At 45.9% G+C, this 15,156-nt stretch overlaps 1 pseudogene, besides 3 other annotated features; it reads right to left on the reverse strand.

Moving 5' to 3' along the window:
- Positions 1-5,266: part of a biological region, named in NCBI's record as "Williams-Beuren syndrome centromeric block B recombination region", that runs on past the window's edge. NCBI's record gives its function as "recombination_partner: LOC106029312".
- Positions 1-5,266: part of a non allelic homologous recombination region, noted in NCBI's record as "sub-region SSN9-SSN11, recombines with sub-region SSN9'-SSN11' within the WBS medial block B recombination region", that runs on past the window's edge. NCBI's record gives the evidence for it as "EXISTENCE:restriction fragment detection evidence [ECO:0001124][PMID:12796854]".
- GTF2IRD2P1 (GTF2I repeat domain containing 2 pseudogene 1) overlaps positions 1-5,411 on the reverse strand; it is a 37,369-nt pseudogene extending 31,958 nt beyond the window's left edge.
- Positions 9,737-10,327: an enhancer, noted in NCBI's record as "H3K27ac hESC enhancer chr7:72698447-72699037 (GRCh37/hg19 assembly coordinates)". NCBI's record gives its function as "activates a minimal SCP1, AML or CMV promoter by ChIP-STARR-seq in naive H9 embryonic stem cells {active_cell/tissue: H9 hESC(naive)}" and the evidence as "EXISTENCE:reporter gene assay evidence [ECO:0000049][PMID:30033119]".

A 15,156-nucleotide genomic window follows, 5' to 3' on the forward strand; every position in this document is an offset into this window, starting at 1 on the left:
AAAGAAAAAAGGCCAATGTAAAAATGTATATATATATATGTATTTTGTAGAGACAGGGTCTTGCCATGTTGCCCAGGCAGGTCTCAAACGCCTGGGCTCCAGCGATCCTCCCACCTCAGCCACCCAAAGTGCTGGGATTACATATGTGAGCCACTGCACCTGGCCCCTTCTGGAATTCTCTGGGACTTCGATAAGACTTGCTGGGAAGCCAGCTGGAGTATTAGTGGAAGTGACTGGGAAGCTGTGTGTGGTGAGGGTGTCACTAAAACTCACTGGAATGAGTGCCACACTGGGTATCCCAAATGCTGTTGGTCATCACAGGCAGGTGAGAGCTCACTGCAACCTCCGCCTCCCGGGTTCGAGCGATTCTCCTGCCTCTCCCTCCCGAGTAGCTGGGATTACAGGCTCCTGCTACCACACACCTGGCTAATTTTTGTATTTTTAGTAGAGACGGGGTTTTCCCATGTTGACCAGGCTGGTCTCGAACTCCCAACCTCAAGTGATCTGCCCGCCTTGGCCTCCCAAAATGCTGGGATTACAGGCGTGCCTGGCCCCAAGTGGAATTTATTCCTCAAATACAAGGATGGTTCAACATATTTACATCAATCAATGTAACATACCACATTGACAGAATAAAGGACAAAAGCCACATGATCATCTCAATTGCCACAGAAAAACATTTGACAAGATTGAACATCCTTTCATGATAAAAGCACTCTACCAACTAGAAGTGGTAGGAAATGACCAATGTAATAAAGGCCATTTATAAAAAGTCCATGGCTAATATCACTCAACAATGAAAGACTGATAGCTAAGATCAGAAATAGCAAAGATGGGCCAGGTGCGGTGGCTCACCCCTGTAATCCCAGCACTTTGGGAGGCGGAGGCAGGCAGATCACTTGAGGTCAGGAGTTTGAGACCATGCTGGCCAATGTGGTGAAACCCCACCTCTACTAAAAAAATACAAAAATTAGCCAGGTGTGGTGGCACGCACCTGTAATCCCAGTTACTCAGGAGGCTGAGGCACGAGAATCACTTGAACCTGGGATCCGGAGGTTGCAGTGAGCAGAGATCAAGCCAGTGCACTCCAGCCTGGGCAACAGAGCAAGACTCCATCTCAAAGAAAAAAAAAAAAAAGAAATGGGAAAGATGCCCTCTCTCCCCACTTCTGTTCAACACAGTTTTGGAAGTCCTAGCCAGAGCAATTAAATTAGGTAAGAAAAAAAAAGGCCTCCAAATTTGAAAGAAAGAAGTAAAATTATCTCTGTTCATAGATGATACATGATTTTGTATGTAGAAAATCCTAAAAATTCCACACAAAAATCTATTCGAACTCCAACATATTCAGCAAAGTTGCAGGATACTACATCAACACAGCAAATCAACTGCATTTCTATACAGTAACAATGAACAATCTGCAAAGGAAATAAAACAATTCCATTTACAATAGCATCAAAAAGAATAAAATCCTTAGGGATAGACCTAATCAAGGAAGGGAAAAATCTGTATACTAAAACAATAAAACACTGCTGAAAAAAATTAAAGAAGACAGGCTGGGCGTGGTGGCTCACGCCTATAATCCTATAATCCCAGCACTTTGGGAGGCCAAGGCAGGCAGATCACTTGAGGTTAGGTGTTCAAGATCAGCCTGGGCAACATGGCGAAGCCCTGTCTCTACTAAAAATACAAAAATTAGCTGGGTGTGGTGGTGCATGCCTGTAGTCCCAGCTACTTGGGAAGCTGAGGCAGTAGAATCGCTTGAACCTGGGAGGCAGAGGTTGCAGTGATCTGAGATCAAGCCACTGCACTCCAGCCTGGGCAACAGAGCAAGACTCCGTCTCTCAAAAAAAAAAAAAAAAAAAAGAAAGAAAAGAAATTAAAGAAGACACAAACAAATGGAAAGACATCTCATGTTCATGGATTGGCAGGCTTAATATTGCTAAGATACCTGTACTACCAAAAGCCATCTACAGAATTATTGCAATCCCCATCAAAATCTCAAGTGCATTTCTCGTACAAATTAAGAAATCCACTCTAAAATTCACATGGGGCTGGGCGCGGTGGCTCACCCTGTAATCCCAGCACTTTTGGGAGGCTGAGGAGGGTGGATCACGAGGTCAGGAATTCAAGACCATCCTGGCCAACATGGTGAAACCCTATCTCAAAATACAAAAAAAAAAAAAATTAGCTGGGCATGGTGGCATGTGCCTGTAATCCCAGCTACTCGGGATGCTGAGGCAGGAGAATGGCTTGAACCGAGGAGGCAGAGGTTGTGGTCAGCCGAGATCTCTCCACTGCCCTCCAGCCTGGGCGATAGAGAGAGATTCTGTCTCAAAAAAAAAAAAAAAAAAAAAAAAAAAAAAAAAAAAAAATTCATATGGAACACCAAGGGACTCTGAATAACAGAAATAATCTTGAAAAAGAGCAAATTTGGAGGTCTCATACTTCCTGATTTCAAAACATATTATAAAGTAATCAAAACAGCATGATACTGGCATAAAGACAAATAGATCTACGGAATAGAGTAGGGAGTCCAGAAATAAACCCTTGACCAAATATTTAGCATGCATGCCAGGTGCAGATCTCAGCTACTTGGGAGGCCAAGACAGGAGGATCACTTGAGCCCAGGAATTTATGACCAGACTGGGTAATATAGCAAAACCCTGTCTCAAAAAAAAAAAAAAAAAAAAAAGCTGGGCACGATGACTCACGCCTGTAATCCCAGCACTTTGGGAGCCAGAGGCAGGCGGATCACCTGAGGTCAGGAGTCTAAGACCAGGCTGGACAGCATGGGGAAACCCTGTCTCTACTAAAAAATACAAAAATTAGCCGGCTGTGGTAGCAGATGCCTGTAATCTCAGCTATTTGGGAGGCTGAGGCAGGAGAATGGCTTGAACTCAGAAGGTGGAGGTTTCAGTGAGCCAAGATCATGCCATTGCACTCCAGCCTGTCCGAAAGGGCAAAACTCTGTCTCAAAAAACAAAAACAAAAACGAAAAACCTGCAGCCATAGAAAAGAAAGAAATCATATCCTTTGCAGCAATGTGGAGGCAGCTGGAGGCCATTATCCTATGTAAATTAATGCAGGGACAGAAAACCAAATACCACATGTTCTCACTTGTAAGTGGGAGCCAAACCTTGGGTACACATGGACATAAAGATGGGGATGGGAACAATAGACACTGGTGGCTCCTAGAGGAAAGAGGGAAGTGGGGGCAAGGGTTGCAAAATGAACTACGGGGTACTATGCTCACTACTGTACCCCAAACCACAGCATCACACGATATACCCATGTAACAAATCTACACGTGTGCCCCCCGAATCTAAACTAAAAGTTGACATTATTAAAAGAAAAGAAAATATAAAAAGATTATCACACCAATTTCAGAACAGTTTCATTACAAGATGAATACTAGAGAAAATATTTGCGACAACAAAATTAACATGCAACTATGAATCTTAAAAAAATCTACAAGTAAATTTCAGTGATTAGAAATTCAACTGGCATCTGACATTAATGAATTGAGAATACCCTTCTTGTGTATCAATTACATACTGTATTATTTAAAGATGGCTTCATTTTTTAATCTGTCTTCTTGATAGTGGAGACCTTAATTTGGGATCTCGGAAGTAAATTTGAATCAATCTATCACTCAATTCTCCCCTCTCTCATCTCTCTCTCTCTCTCTCTATCCATTCATCTAATCTATCTATATACATATATATATATATATAATTCCTGTCTCCCTTATCTATCTATCCATCCATCTAAGCTATCTACATACATATATATATATAATTCCTCTCTCTTATCTATCATCTATCCATTTATCTAATCTGTCTATATACATATGTATATAATTCCTCTCTTATTTATCTATCTACCTATCTATCTAATCTACTTATACACACACAGACACACACACACACACACACACTTTATATACCTTCTGCCAATCCATAGAGACCCCTCTCTCTGTACATACATACACACACACACACACACACACACCCTTATACCCTCTGACGAACCTTTCTGATTTTTATCCTTTCATGGTTACAAGGAATATTAAATTGCTATATCAATACTTGGTAAATAACCTACAGTGTTAGAGATTACCACCATAAAAGGTGTAGTTTTTTGTCTGGTTTTGTTTTGTCTTGAGACCGGGTCTCGCTCTATGGTCCAGACTGGAGTGCAGTGGTGTGATCACGGCTCACTGCAGCCTTGACCTCCCGGGCTCAAGAGATCCTCTCACCTGAGCCTCCTGAGTAGCTAAGACAACAGGCGAGTGCCACCACGCCCATCTAATTTTTTTTTGTATTTTTTAGTAGAGATGGAGTCTTGCCATGTTGCCCAGCTTGGCCTCAAACTCCTGAGCTCAAGTGATCCATCTGCCTTGGCCTCCCAAAATTTTGGGATTACAGGAGTGAGCCACCGAGCCCGGCAGAAGGTGTAGTTTTTAACACTGTAGAGTAGTTCCTTGACATATGGCCACATATACTCACTCACACTGGATGCTTGCAGCACACCGTGGCATATTGAAGGCTCTGAAATTGCCATACTAAGAAAAGGAAAAAACGGCCAGGTGCAGTGGCTCACACCTGTAATTCCAGTACTTTGGGAGGCAGAGGTGGGCAGATCACTTGTGGTCAGGAGTTTGAGACCAGCCTGGCCAACAGGGTGAAACCCTTTCTCTACCAAAAATATAAAAATTAGCTGGGCATGGTGGAAGGTGCCTGTAATCCCAGCTACTCGGGAGGCTGAGGCAGGAGAATCGCTTAAACCTGGGAGGCGGAGGTTGCGGTGAGCCAAGATCGCACCACTGCACTCCAGCCTGGGTGACACAGTGAGACTCTGTCTCAAAAAAATAAAGAAAAAAAGAAAAAAGGAGTAATTGTATAATGGCTATTAATAGGCAGTAATACACAACAAGCTCTGAAAAAGTTTTTCCCCCTTCCTTTGGAAAGGACTAAAGAGTATTTTGTAAAATGGTGTTTATTTTAGGAATTAAAGATAATTTGTTCTATGTCCTTGAAATTTATTCTAATAAACCAGAGTACTGCTGAGGACCTAGTATAAAATAAAATGACCATTTGTCTTGGACTCTGCAGTGTTAAGCAGTGTTTATTTGGTAAGCTGAATCCAAGAAGATGTGTTAGGATCGTTTCTAGGAGAATGCTTATGATAGCTTAGAAGAAAATACTGTGGAAGTCTTGCCTGCGATCCTTTTGAGATTGGGAATACAAAGGATAAAATTAAAACGCCTACAGTATTTTGCAAAATCTTTCTGAAAATCCGTCCTGGCATTAACAAAAGCGCATCCTCTCTCGGTTCCGACGACAAACACGTCTGTTTCGTACACTGCGATGCAGGCCACTTCTGCCTTGGACTTGGCCAGTTCTTTACACTGAAACAGAAACAAAAAGCGATGTATTATCTACAAGGGCAGATCCAAGTTTCTGGGGCCTGGGAGGCCTGATTTAAGAATACAAAATTAGGTAGCAAAAGGAATATTTATTTATTTATTTATTTTTGAGACGGAGTCTCGCTCTGTCACCCAGGCTGGAGTGCAGTGGCGCAATCTCGGCTCACTGCAAGCTCCGCCTCCCGGGTTCATGTCATTCTCCGGCCTCAGCCTCCTGAGTAGCTGGGACTACAGGCGCCTGCAACCACGCCTGGCTAATTTGTGTGTGTGTGTGTGTGTGTGTGTGTGTGTGTGTGTGTGTGTGTGTGTGTGTATTTTTAGTAGAGACGGGGTTTCACCATGTTAGCCAGGATGGTCTCGATCTCCTGACCTCATGATCCGCCCACCTCAGCCTCCCAAAGTGCTGGGATTACAGGCGTGAGCCACCGCGCCCGGCCTCTGGATATGTCCTTCCAGCTGATGGACCTCAGGATTGGGAGAAAGATCGGGGACAAGAGACGGGCACAACAGTCACCTGGTTTCTTTTTCTTCCTTTATTTTTTGAGACTGAGTCTCGCTTTATCACCTAGGCTAGAGTGCACGATCTTGGCTCACTGCAACCTCCACTTCCCAGGTTCAAATGATTCTCCTGCCTCAGCCTTCCGAGTATCTGGGATTACAGGCGTGCACTGCCATACCCGACTAATTTTTGGATTTTAGTAGAGATGGGGTTTTGCCATGTTGGCCAGGCTGGTCTTGAACTCCTGACCTCAAGTGATCTGCCCACCTTGGCCTCCCAACGTGTTGGGATTACAGGTGTGAGCCACCGTGCCCAGCCACATGGTGTCTTCCATGACAGCTCCCTCTCTGCTGAAATAGCATTTCCCACCCCCACCCATGGCATCACTCTTCTGCTGCCATTTTCATCAAAGACTGATGTCACTTGGCATGTTTTTAGGTTTTTTTCTGGTGGCTTTTATTTTTTTAATTTTAGAGATGAGGTCTCACTATGTTGCCCAGCCTAGTCTCAAATTCCTAAGCTCAAGGGATCCACCTGCCTCTATCTCCCAAAGTGCTGGGGTTACAGGCATGCACCACCACGCCTGGACCACATTGCATGCATTTTATTTAAATTTTTTTTTTTTTTTTTTTTAAGACGGAGTCTCATTCTGTCACCCAGGCTGAAGTGTAGTGGTGCGATCTTGGCTCACTGCAATCCCGGGTTCAAGCAATTCTCCTGCCTCAGCCTCCCGAGTAGCTGGGATTACAGGCGTGAGCCACTGTGCCCGGCCTTTATTTAAGATTTGCCTCCTTAACCATTACACCTGTAATCCCAGCCCTTTGGGAGGCTGAGGTGGGCAGATCACCTGAGTTCAGGTGTTCAAGACCAGCCAGGCCAAGATGGTGAAACCACATCTCTACTAAAAATTCCAAAATTAGCCAGGCGTGGTGGCAGGCACCTGTAGTCCCAGCTAATCAGAAGGCTGAGGCAGGGGAATTGCTTGAACCTGGGAGGTGGAGGTTGCAGTGAGCCAAGATTGCACCACTACACTCCAGCCTGGGCAGCGGAGTGAGACTGTCTCACACAAAAAAAAAAAGAAGTGTCAGGTGCTGGCAGAGACACTGCTTTTCCCTAATTGACCTGTTTGGTCCTCACATTAACCATATTTTACAGCTACTCTCATTTACAGATAAGGAAACTGGGCCAATGAGGAGGTGAGAAATCACTCAAGGCTGCCAGGTACAGTGGCTCATCCCTGTAATCCCAGCACTTTGGGAGGCCAAGGGAGGAGGATTAATTGAGGCCAGGAGTTTGAGACCAGCCTAGGCAACATAATGAGACTCTGTCTCTACAAAAAATTTAAAAATTAGTGGGGTGTGGTGATGCATGTGTAGTCCCAGCTACTCCGGAGGCTGAGGTGGGAGGATCGCTTGATCCCAGGTGTCTGAGACAGTAGTGAGCTACGATTGCACCACTGCACTACAACCTCGGTGATGCAATGAGACGCTGTCTCAAAAAAAAAAAACCACACACACACAAAACAACAAAAAAACAAATTGTTCAAGGCGAGCCTGGTGTGCCAAGCCCTTGTTCTGGGCACTTGGCTTATATTATCTCCCTTAATCCTTCCCACCACCCCACGTGCTAGATACTGGGATTAATTTAGTTGAGCTGTAATACATCAATACTGTGTGAAATGCTATGCAACATCTAAAAGGAAGACAGGTGGAGCTTTTATTTATTTTTTATTTTATTTATTTTTTGAGACGCAGTCTCGCTGCATTACCCAACCTGGAGTGCAGTGGCACAATCACAGCTCACTGTAGCCTCAACCTCCTGGGTTCAAACAATCCTCCCACCTCAGCCTCTCAAGTAGCTGGGACTACAGGCTTACACCACCAAGCTTGGCTAATTTTTTTTTTTTTTTTTTTTTAGAGATGGTGTTTTGCTAAGTTGCCCACACTGATCTCAAAATCCTTTTGTTTTTGCTTTGGAATGGTCTGGAACTCCTGAGCTCAAGTGATCCTCCCACCTTGGCCTCCCAAAGGCCTGGGATTACAGGTATGAGCCACCGCACCAAGCCCAGGTTGAGCTTTTAAGGTATTAAAGATCCACTAGGTGAAAAAAAAGAGTGAAAGATACATATGCCATTTAAGGGAAGCACAGGAAAACTCCTATTTTGTTTATATGTGAATAGAGGCACATAGATGCCTAGAAAAGTGTCTGGGAGGGAATGAAACCAGATTGGCCACAAAAATCACCTCTGGAAAAAGGAAAAGAATGGGGACTTTCACTTTTTGCTTCATATGTTTCATGTACCTTTTTTTTTTTTTTTTTTTTTTTGAGATGGAGTTTCACTCTTATTGCCCAGGCTGGGGTGCAGTGGTGCGATCTCAGCTCACTGCAACCTCTGCCTCCTAGGTTCAAGCGATTCTCCTGCCTCAGCCTCCCGAGTAGCTGGGATTACAGGCATGCGCCACCACGCCCGGCTAATTTTTTGTGTTTTTAGTAGAGACGAGGTTTCTCCATGTTGGTCAGGCTGGTCTCGAACTCCTGACATCAGGTGATCCGCCCACCTTGGCCTCCCAAAGTGCTGGGATTACAGGCGTGAGCCACCGCGCCCAGCTGCTTTTTCTTTTTTTTTTTCCTATTTTTATTTTTATTTATTTATTTTTTTAATTTATTTTTTTTTATTGATAATTCTTGGGTGTTTCTCAGAGGGGGATTTGGCAGGGTCATGGGACAATAGTGGAGGGAAGGTCAGCAGATAAACAAGTGAACAAAGGTCTCTGGTTTTCCTAGGCAGAGGACCCTGCGGGCTTCCGCAGTGTTTGTGTCCCTGATTGCTTGAGATTAGGGATTGGTGATGACTCTTAACGAGCATGCTGCCTTCAAGCATCTGTTTAACAAAGCACATCTTGCACCGCCCTTAATCCATTTAACCCTGAGTGGACACAGCACATGTTTCAGAGAGCACAGGGTTGGGGGTAAGGTCACAGATCAACAGGATCCCAAGGCAGAGGAACCTTTCCTAGTGCAGAACAAAATGAAAAGTCTCCCATGTCTACTTCTTTCTACACAGACACGGCAACCATCCGATTTCTCAATCTTTTCCCCACCTTTCCCGCCTTTCTATTCCACAAAGCCTCCATTGTCATCCTGGCCCGTTCTCAATGAGCTGTTGGGCACACCTCCCAGACGGGGTGGTGGCCGGGCAGAGGGGCTCCTCACTTCCCAGTAGGGGCGGCCGGGCAGAGGCGCCCCTCACCTCCCGGACGGGGCGGATGGCCGGGCAGGGGGGCTGACCCCCCCCACCTCCCTCCCGGACGTGGCGGCTGGCCGGGCGGGGGGCTGACCCCCCCACCTCCCTCCCGGACGGGGCGGCTGGCCGGGCAGAGGGGCTCCTCACTTCCCAGTAGGGGCGGCCGGGCAGAGGCGCCCCTCACCTCCCAGATGGGGCGGCTGGCCGGGCGGAGGGCTGACCCCCCCCACCTCCCTCCCGGACGGGGCGGCTGCCCAGGCGGGGGGCTGACCCCCCCACCTCCCTCCCGGACGGGGTGGCTGGCCGGGCTGAGGGGCTCCTCACTTCCCAGTAGGGGCGGCCGGGCAGAGGCGCCCCTCACCTCCCGGACGGGGCGGCTGGCCGGGCGGGGGGCTGACCCCCCCACCTCCCTCCCGGACGGCACGGCTGGCCAGGCGGGGGGCTGACCCCCCCACCTCCCTCCCGGATGGCACGGCTGGCCGGGCGGGGGGGCTGACCCCCCACCTCCCTCCCGGATGGGGCGGCTGGCCGGGCGGGGGGCTGACCCCCCCCCACCTCCCTCCCGGACGGGGTGGCTGCCGGGCGGAGATGCTCCTCACTTCCCAGATGGTGTGGCTGCCGGGCGGAGAGGCTCCTCACTTCTCAGACGGGGCAGCTGCCGGGCGGAGGGGCTCCTCACTTCTCAGACGGGGTGGTTGCCAGGCAGAGGGTCTCCTCACTTCTCAGATGGGGCGGCCGGGCAGAGACGCTCCTCACCTCCCAGACGGGGTCTCGGCCGGGCAGAGGCGCTCCTCACATCCCAGATGGGGCGGCGGAGCAGAGGCGCTCCCCACATCTCAGACGATGGGCGGCCGGGCAGAGACGCTCCTCACTTCCTAGATGTGATGGCGGCTGGGAAGAGGCGCTCCTCACTTCCTAGATGGGATGGCGGCCGGGCGGAGATGCTCCTCACTTTCCAGACTGGGCAGCCAGGCAGAGGGGCTCCTCACATCCCAGACGATGGGCGGCCAGGCAGAGACACTCCTCACTTCCCAGACGGGGTGGCGGCCGGGCAGAGGCTGCAATCTCGGCACTTTGGGAGGCCAAGGCAGGCGGCTGGGAGGTGTAGGTTGTAGTGAGCCGAGATCACGCCACTGCACTCCAGCCTGGGCACCATTGAGCACTGAGTGAACGAGACTCCGTCTGCAATCCCGGCACCTCGGGAGGCCGAGGTTGGCGGGATCACTCGCGGTTAGGGGCTGGAGACCGGCCCGGCCAACACAGCGAAACCCCGTCTCCACCAAAACCAGTCAGGCATGGCGGCGCGTGCCTGCAATCGCAGGCACTCGGCAGGCTGAGGCAGGAGAATCAGGCAGGGAGGTTGCAGTGAGCCGAGATGGCAGCAGTACAGTCCAGCTTCGGCTCCGCATGAGAGGGAGACCGTGGGGAGACAGAGCGAGAGGGAGAGGGAGAGGGAGAGGGAGAGGGAGAGGGAAAAGTCACACTTCTTAAAGTTGCAGTCTCACCAATGCACCACCCAGATATTTTTATAAATGAAAATAAAAGGAGAATCATATGGTTCCAGATGACATTGCTAATAATTTGGTATATCATTTTACAGATTCATTCTTCATGCTTATTTTTCATAAATTAATACACATGCATTTTATTTTACAAAGTAAGAATAATACTATACATTGGGGTCCCCAACCCCTGAACCATGGACCAGTACCATCTGTGGCCCATTAGGAACCAGGCTGCACAGCAGGAGGTGAGCAGCCTGCTTTTTCTTTTTAAAAAGTAAAATATAACAGAGAAAACTGCACAAAACAGAAGTGTTCAAATTAAATTTTTTTTTTTTTTGAGACAGGGTCTTGCCCTGTTGCCCAGGCTGGAGTGCAGTGGCTCATTCATAGCTCACTGTAGCCTCAAACTCCTGGGTTCAAGCGATCCTCCCACCCCAGCCTCCTGAGTGGCTGGAAGGCCAAGGGAGGATCGCTTGAGCCCAGGAGTTTGAGGCTGTGCCACCACACGCAGCTGGTTTTTTTTGTTTTTTTTTTTTTTAATTTTTTGTAGAGACAGGGTCTCGCTATGTCACCCAGGCTGGTCTCAAACTCACGGGCTCAAGCAATCCTCCCATCTTTGGCCTCCCAAAGTACTGAGACTACAAACATGAGCCATCTTGCCCAGCCCCTAGAACGTGTTATCAAATAAACACCGATGCAACCCTCACTCAGCCGAGAAGTAAAACATTGCCAGCCAATCCCTAAATGCTTCTGCTTGCCGCTTCCCAATCCTAACCAATGCCTTCTCCTGACAATTATGATGGTCATGTCTTTGCATTTCTCTAATGTTTCCCATCACGATCAAACTAGTTTTGTTTTGCCTGTGTCCAAACTTTGCATAAATGAGCAGCATGTGTCTGGTGGACCTGGCTTCTTCCACTCAACATTATGATAAGAAGATTGACCATTTGGTGCCCATAGCTATTGCTCTTGCATTTTCATTGCTCTATAGATTCTTACTCAACATACCTTAAAAATTTTTTTATTCTGAAATAAGAGCGGGATGCTATTAAAAAAAGCAGTATCAGTGTCATTGTTAACACTGTCATTATTAAGACGGCTGAAGTCAGTTTAAGAATTGTGATTCATTTGTCTTTATATCCCTGTGTGAATGCTAGGGACATGTAATCAATATATCGTGTTTTAAAGTAATGTTAATTGTCCTTTGGGTACACCAACTTTATATACAGTGAGGTTCGTTTGTTCAGTATGTTTGAAAGTTACAGGGATTTCTGTGTTTTCCTTTTTGAAATAGTTCTGTTTTAAATTATGTAAAATCTTTGAAACAATAAGTTGTTTCAAAAAAAATACACTAAAACAAGATACACTCAAAAATTCAGTTTCCATCCCTTTCCACTCTACATTTTTCCTTCCTCTCCATTTTTATTTTTTGATTATCCTTTATTGTTTTTTAAACGATATGCATATCAGTGTATCTGAAAACCGCCACCTTCTAACATTTAAGGTAGTAGACAGTATATACAGATTTGAACCTTGCTTTTTCACATAATAGATAGTTGAGGTCATTCCATAGCAGTACACAGAAACTCATCTTTGGTCTTAAAACTGCATAGGTACTTTAGTCCTCTGTTGACAAATGTTGGGTTGTTTCAGTCTTCTGCTATCACAAATAATGCTGCAAAGAATACATTTGTTCATATGTCATTTCACCCTTGGCAATTTTGCCTCTGGAAAGTTCCTAGAAGTCAGATTCCCAGGTCAAAGGTTAAATGAGCATGTAATTTTGCTGGATATTGTTAAATCCCCCTACAGAGCATGCACCACTCAGCATTCCCCTCAGCGTTGTATGAGAGGGACCATTTCTCTATGGCCTCACCAGCAGATTTGGTTATTGTAGCTCTGGGCTTTTACCAATTTCACAGGTTAAAAATAGTATCTAAGACAGGCGTGGCAGCTCATGCCTGTAATCCCAGCACTTTGAGAGGCCGAGGAAGGCAGATCACTGGAGGTCAGGAGTTCGAGATCATCCTAGCCAACATGGTGAAATCCTGTCTCTACTAAAAACATAAAAATTAGCTGGGCATGGTGGCACATGCCTGTAATCCCAGCTACTCAGGAGGCTGAGGAAGGAGAATATCAGGAACCTGGGAGGCAGGGGTTGCAGTGAGCAGAGATAGCGCCACTCCACTCCAGCCTGGGTGACAGAGTGAGACTCTGTCTCAAAAAAAAAAAAAAGCCAGCCGAGCTTGGTGGCTTACACCTGTAATCCCAGCACTTTGGGAGGCTGAGGCAGGTGGATCACCTGAAATCAGGAGTTTGAGACCAGCCTGGCCAACGTGGCAAAAACCCGTTGCTACTAAAAATACAAAAAATTTAGCCAGGCGTGGTCGTCTGTGCCTGTAATCCCAGTTACTTGGGAGGCTGAGGCAGGAGAACTGCTTGACCCTGAAAGGCAGAGGTCAAGTGAGCCGAGCTCACGCCACTGCCCTCCAGCCTGGACGACAGAGTGAGATTCTGTCTCAAAGAAAAAAAGGTATCTAATTTTTGTCTCTTATGAGTAGTTTGATCATCTGTTCATATGTTGAATGATTATTTTCAGTTCTGTTTCCGTGAGTCTTAGTTCATATCCTTTACCCATTTTTCTGAAGGGCTACCAGCCAAATCTCATGTTCAAGAGTTTTTCCTATAGTAGAGAAACCTATTCCAAATGAAGCAAAGTTTTGAACGTAAAATAGAAACCATAGAAGTGCAGTGTTAGAAGAAACAGGCTCCTCACGAGTTGCAGGTGGGAGTGTCAGTTGGTACAGCTCTCTAGAGGGCTTTGTGACAGGAATTGTCCACATAAGAGATACATGCACCCTTTGATCAAGCAGCTTTACCTTTAGGAAGTTATCCTACACACATACTGGGAAATGGATACAAGGATTTAATGTAACATTTTTTTAATAATAGCAGCTTGGAAACAATGTACATGTTATCTTTTCAGGGAGCTGATTGAATAACTTACAGTATTGGTGTAAGTTGGAATATACTATGTAACTATGAAAAAGAATAAGGCAACTGAAGAAGTACTCATGAGAATGATCTCAAAAAGCAATTACATAAAAACAAGGCTCAGAACTGTATAGTATCCTCTATTATTCGGGCTTTTAAAAATCTTTTAATATGCATAAAATAATTCTTACAGGATATATTAAAAACTGGCAATCGTTACTGAGATAAAAAGGAAATTTACTTTTTACTGTACAGTCTTTTTTTTTTTCTTTCTTTTGAGACAGAGTCTCGCACTGTCGCCCAGGCTGGAGTGCAGTGCTGTGATCTTGGCTCACTGCAACCTCCACCTCCTGGGTTCAAGCAATTCCCCAGTCTCAGCCTCCCAAGTAGCTGGGATTACAGGCACCCACCACCATGCCCGGCTAATTTTTGTATTTTTAGTAGAGATGGGTTTTCACCATGTTGGCTAGGATGGTCTCGAACTCGTGACCTCAGGTGATCCGTCCGCCTTGGCCTCCCGAAGTGCTGGGATTACAGGCATGAGCCACCACACCTGGCCCCAAGTTGTTGTCTTTTTCTTAGAGATTTGAATACGCTCTTTATATATTCTAGATACAAGCTGTCTGTCATGTATGTGTTGCAACAAAAAAGTGTCCTGCTCTTGCCATTCTACTTCCTTGTGGTTAGCATACTTTGTGTAGTATTCAGGAAATCTTTGCCTACCTAACCTAAGGTCATGATAATTTTCTTCTGTGCTACCTTCTAGAAGCTTTATTATTTTATTATTACTTTTATATGTAAATCCATAAACCACCTGAAATTAATTTTTGTATATGGTGTGAGGTTGGGATCAAAATTAGTTTTTTTTGTGTTTGGTGGTGTTGGTGGTTTTTGTTGTTGTTGTTGTTTTTTTTTACTGTAGAAATACCCATTTCTCTTAGCAACATTTATTGAAAGGACCATCCTTATTTCTCTGCAGCACCGTCTGTGTCTAATTTAAGTGTCTGTATATATGTGGGTCCATTTCTAGACTCTGTTTTGTTCCATTGGTCTATTTTTCTACCTAGACCTTGTGCCAGTCTTTGTTTTACCCCTAGCCTTATACTTTAAGTCTTGATAGAGTCAGTCATCCCACTTTCTCATTTCTCTTCAGGACTGTCTTGTATCTTGGCCTTTTGCATTTTCATATAATTTTTAGATCAACTTGTCAATTTCCACACAAAAAAAAAAAAGTTCTGAGATACTGATTGGGATTGCCTTTCATCTACTGATTACTTTGGATGGAATTAACATTGTTACAATATTGACCTTGTTTACTTCTAATCTATGAACATGGAATGTCGTTATTTATTTATTTAACTTTTGAGACAAGGGGTCTTGCTCTGTGGCCCAGGCTGGAGTGCAGTGACATGATCATAGCTCACTACTGCCTTGAACTCCCAGGCTCAAGCGATTCTCCTGCCTCAGCCTCTTGAGTAGCTGGGAC

The sequence above is a fragment of the Homo sapiens genome, chromosome 7, assembly GCF_000001405.40.
Source record: "Homo sapiens chromosome 7, GRCh38.p14 Primary Assembly".
NCBI lineage: Eukaryota > Metazoa > Chordata > Mammalia > Primates > Hominidae > Homo > Homo sapiens.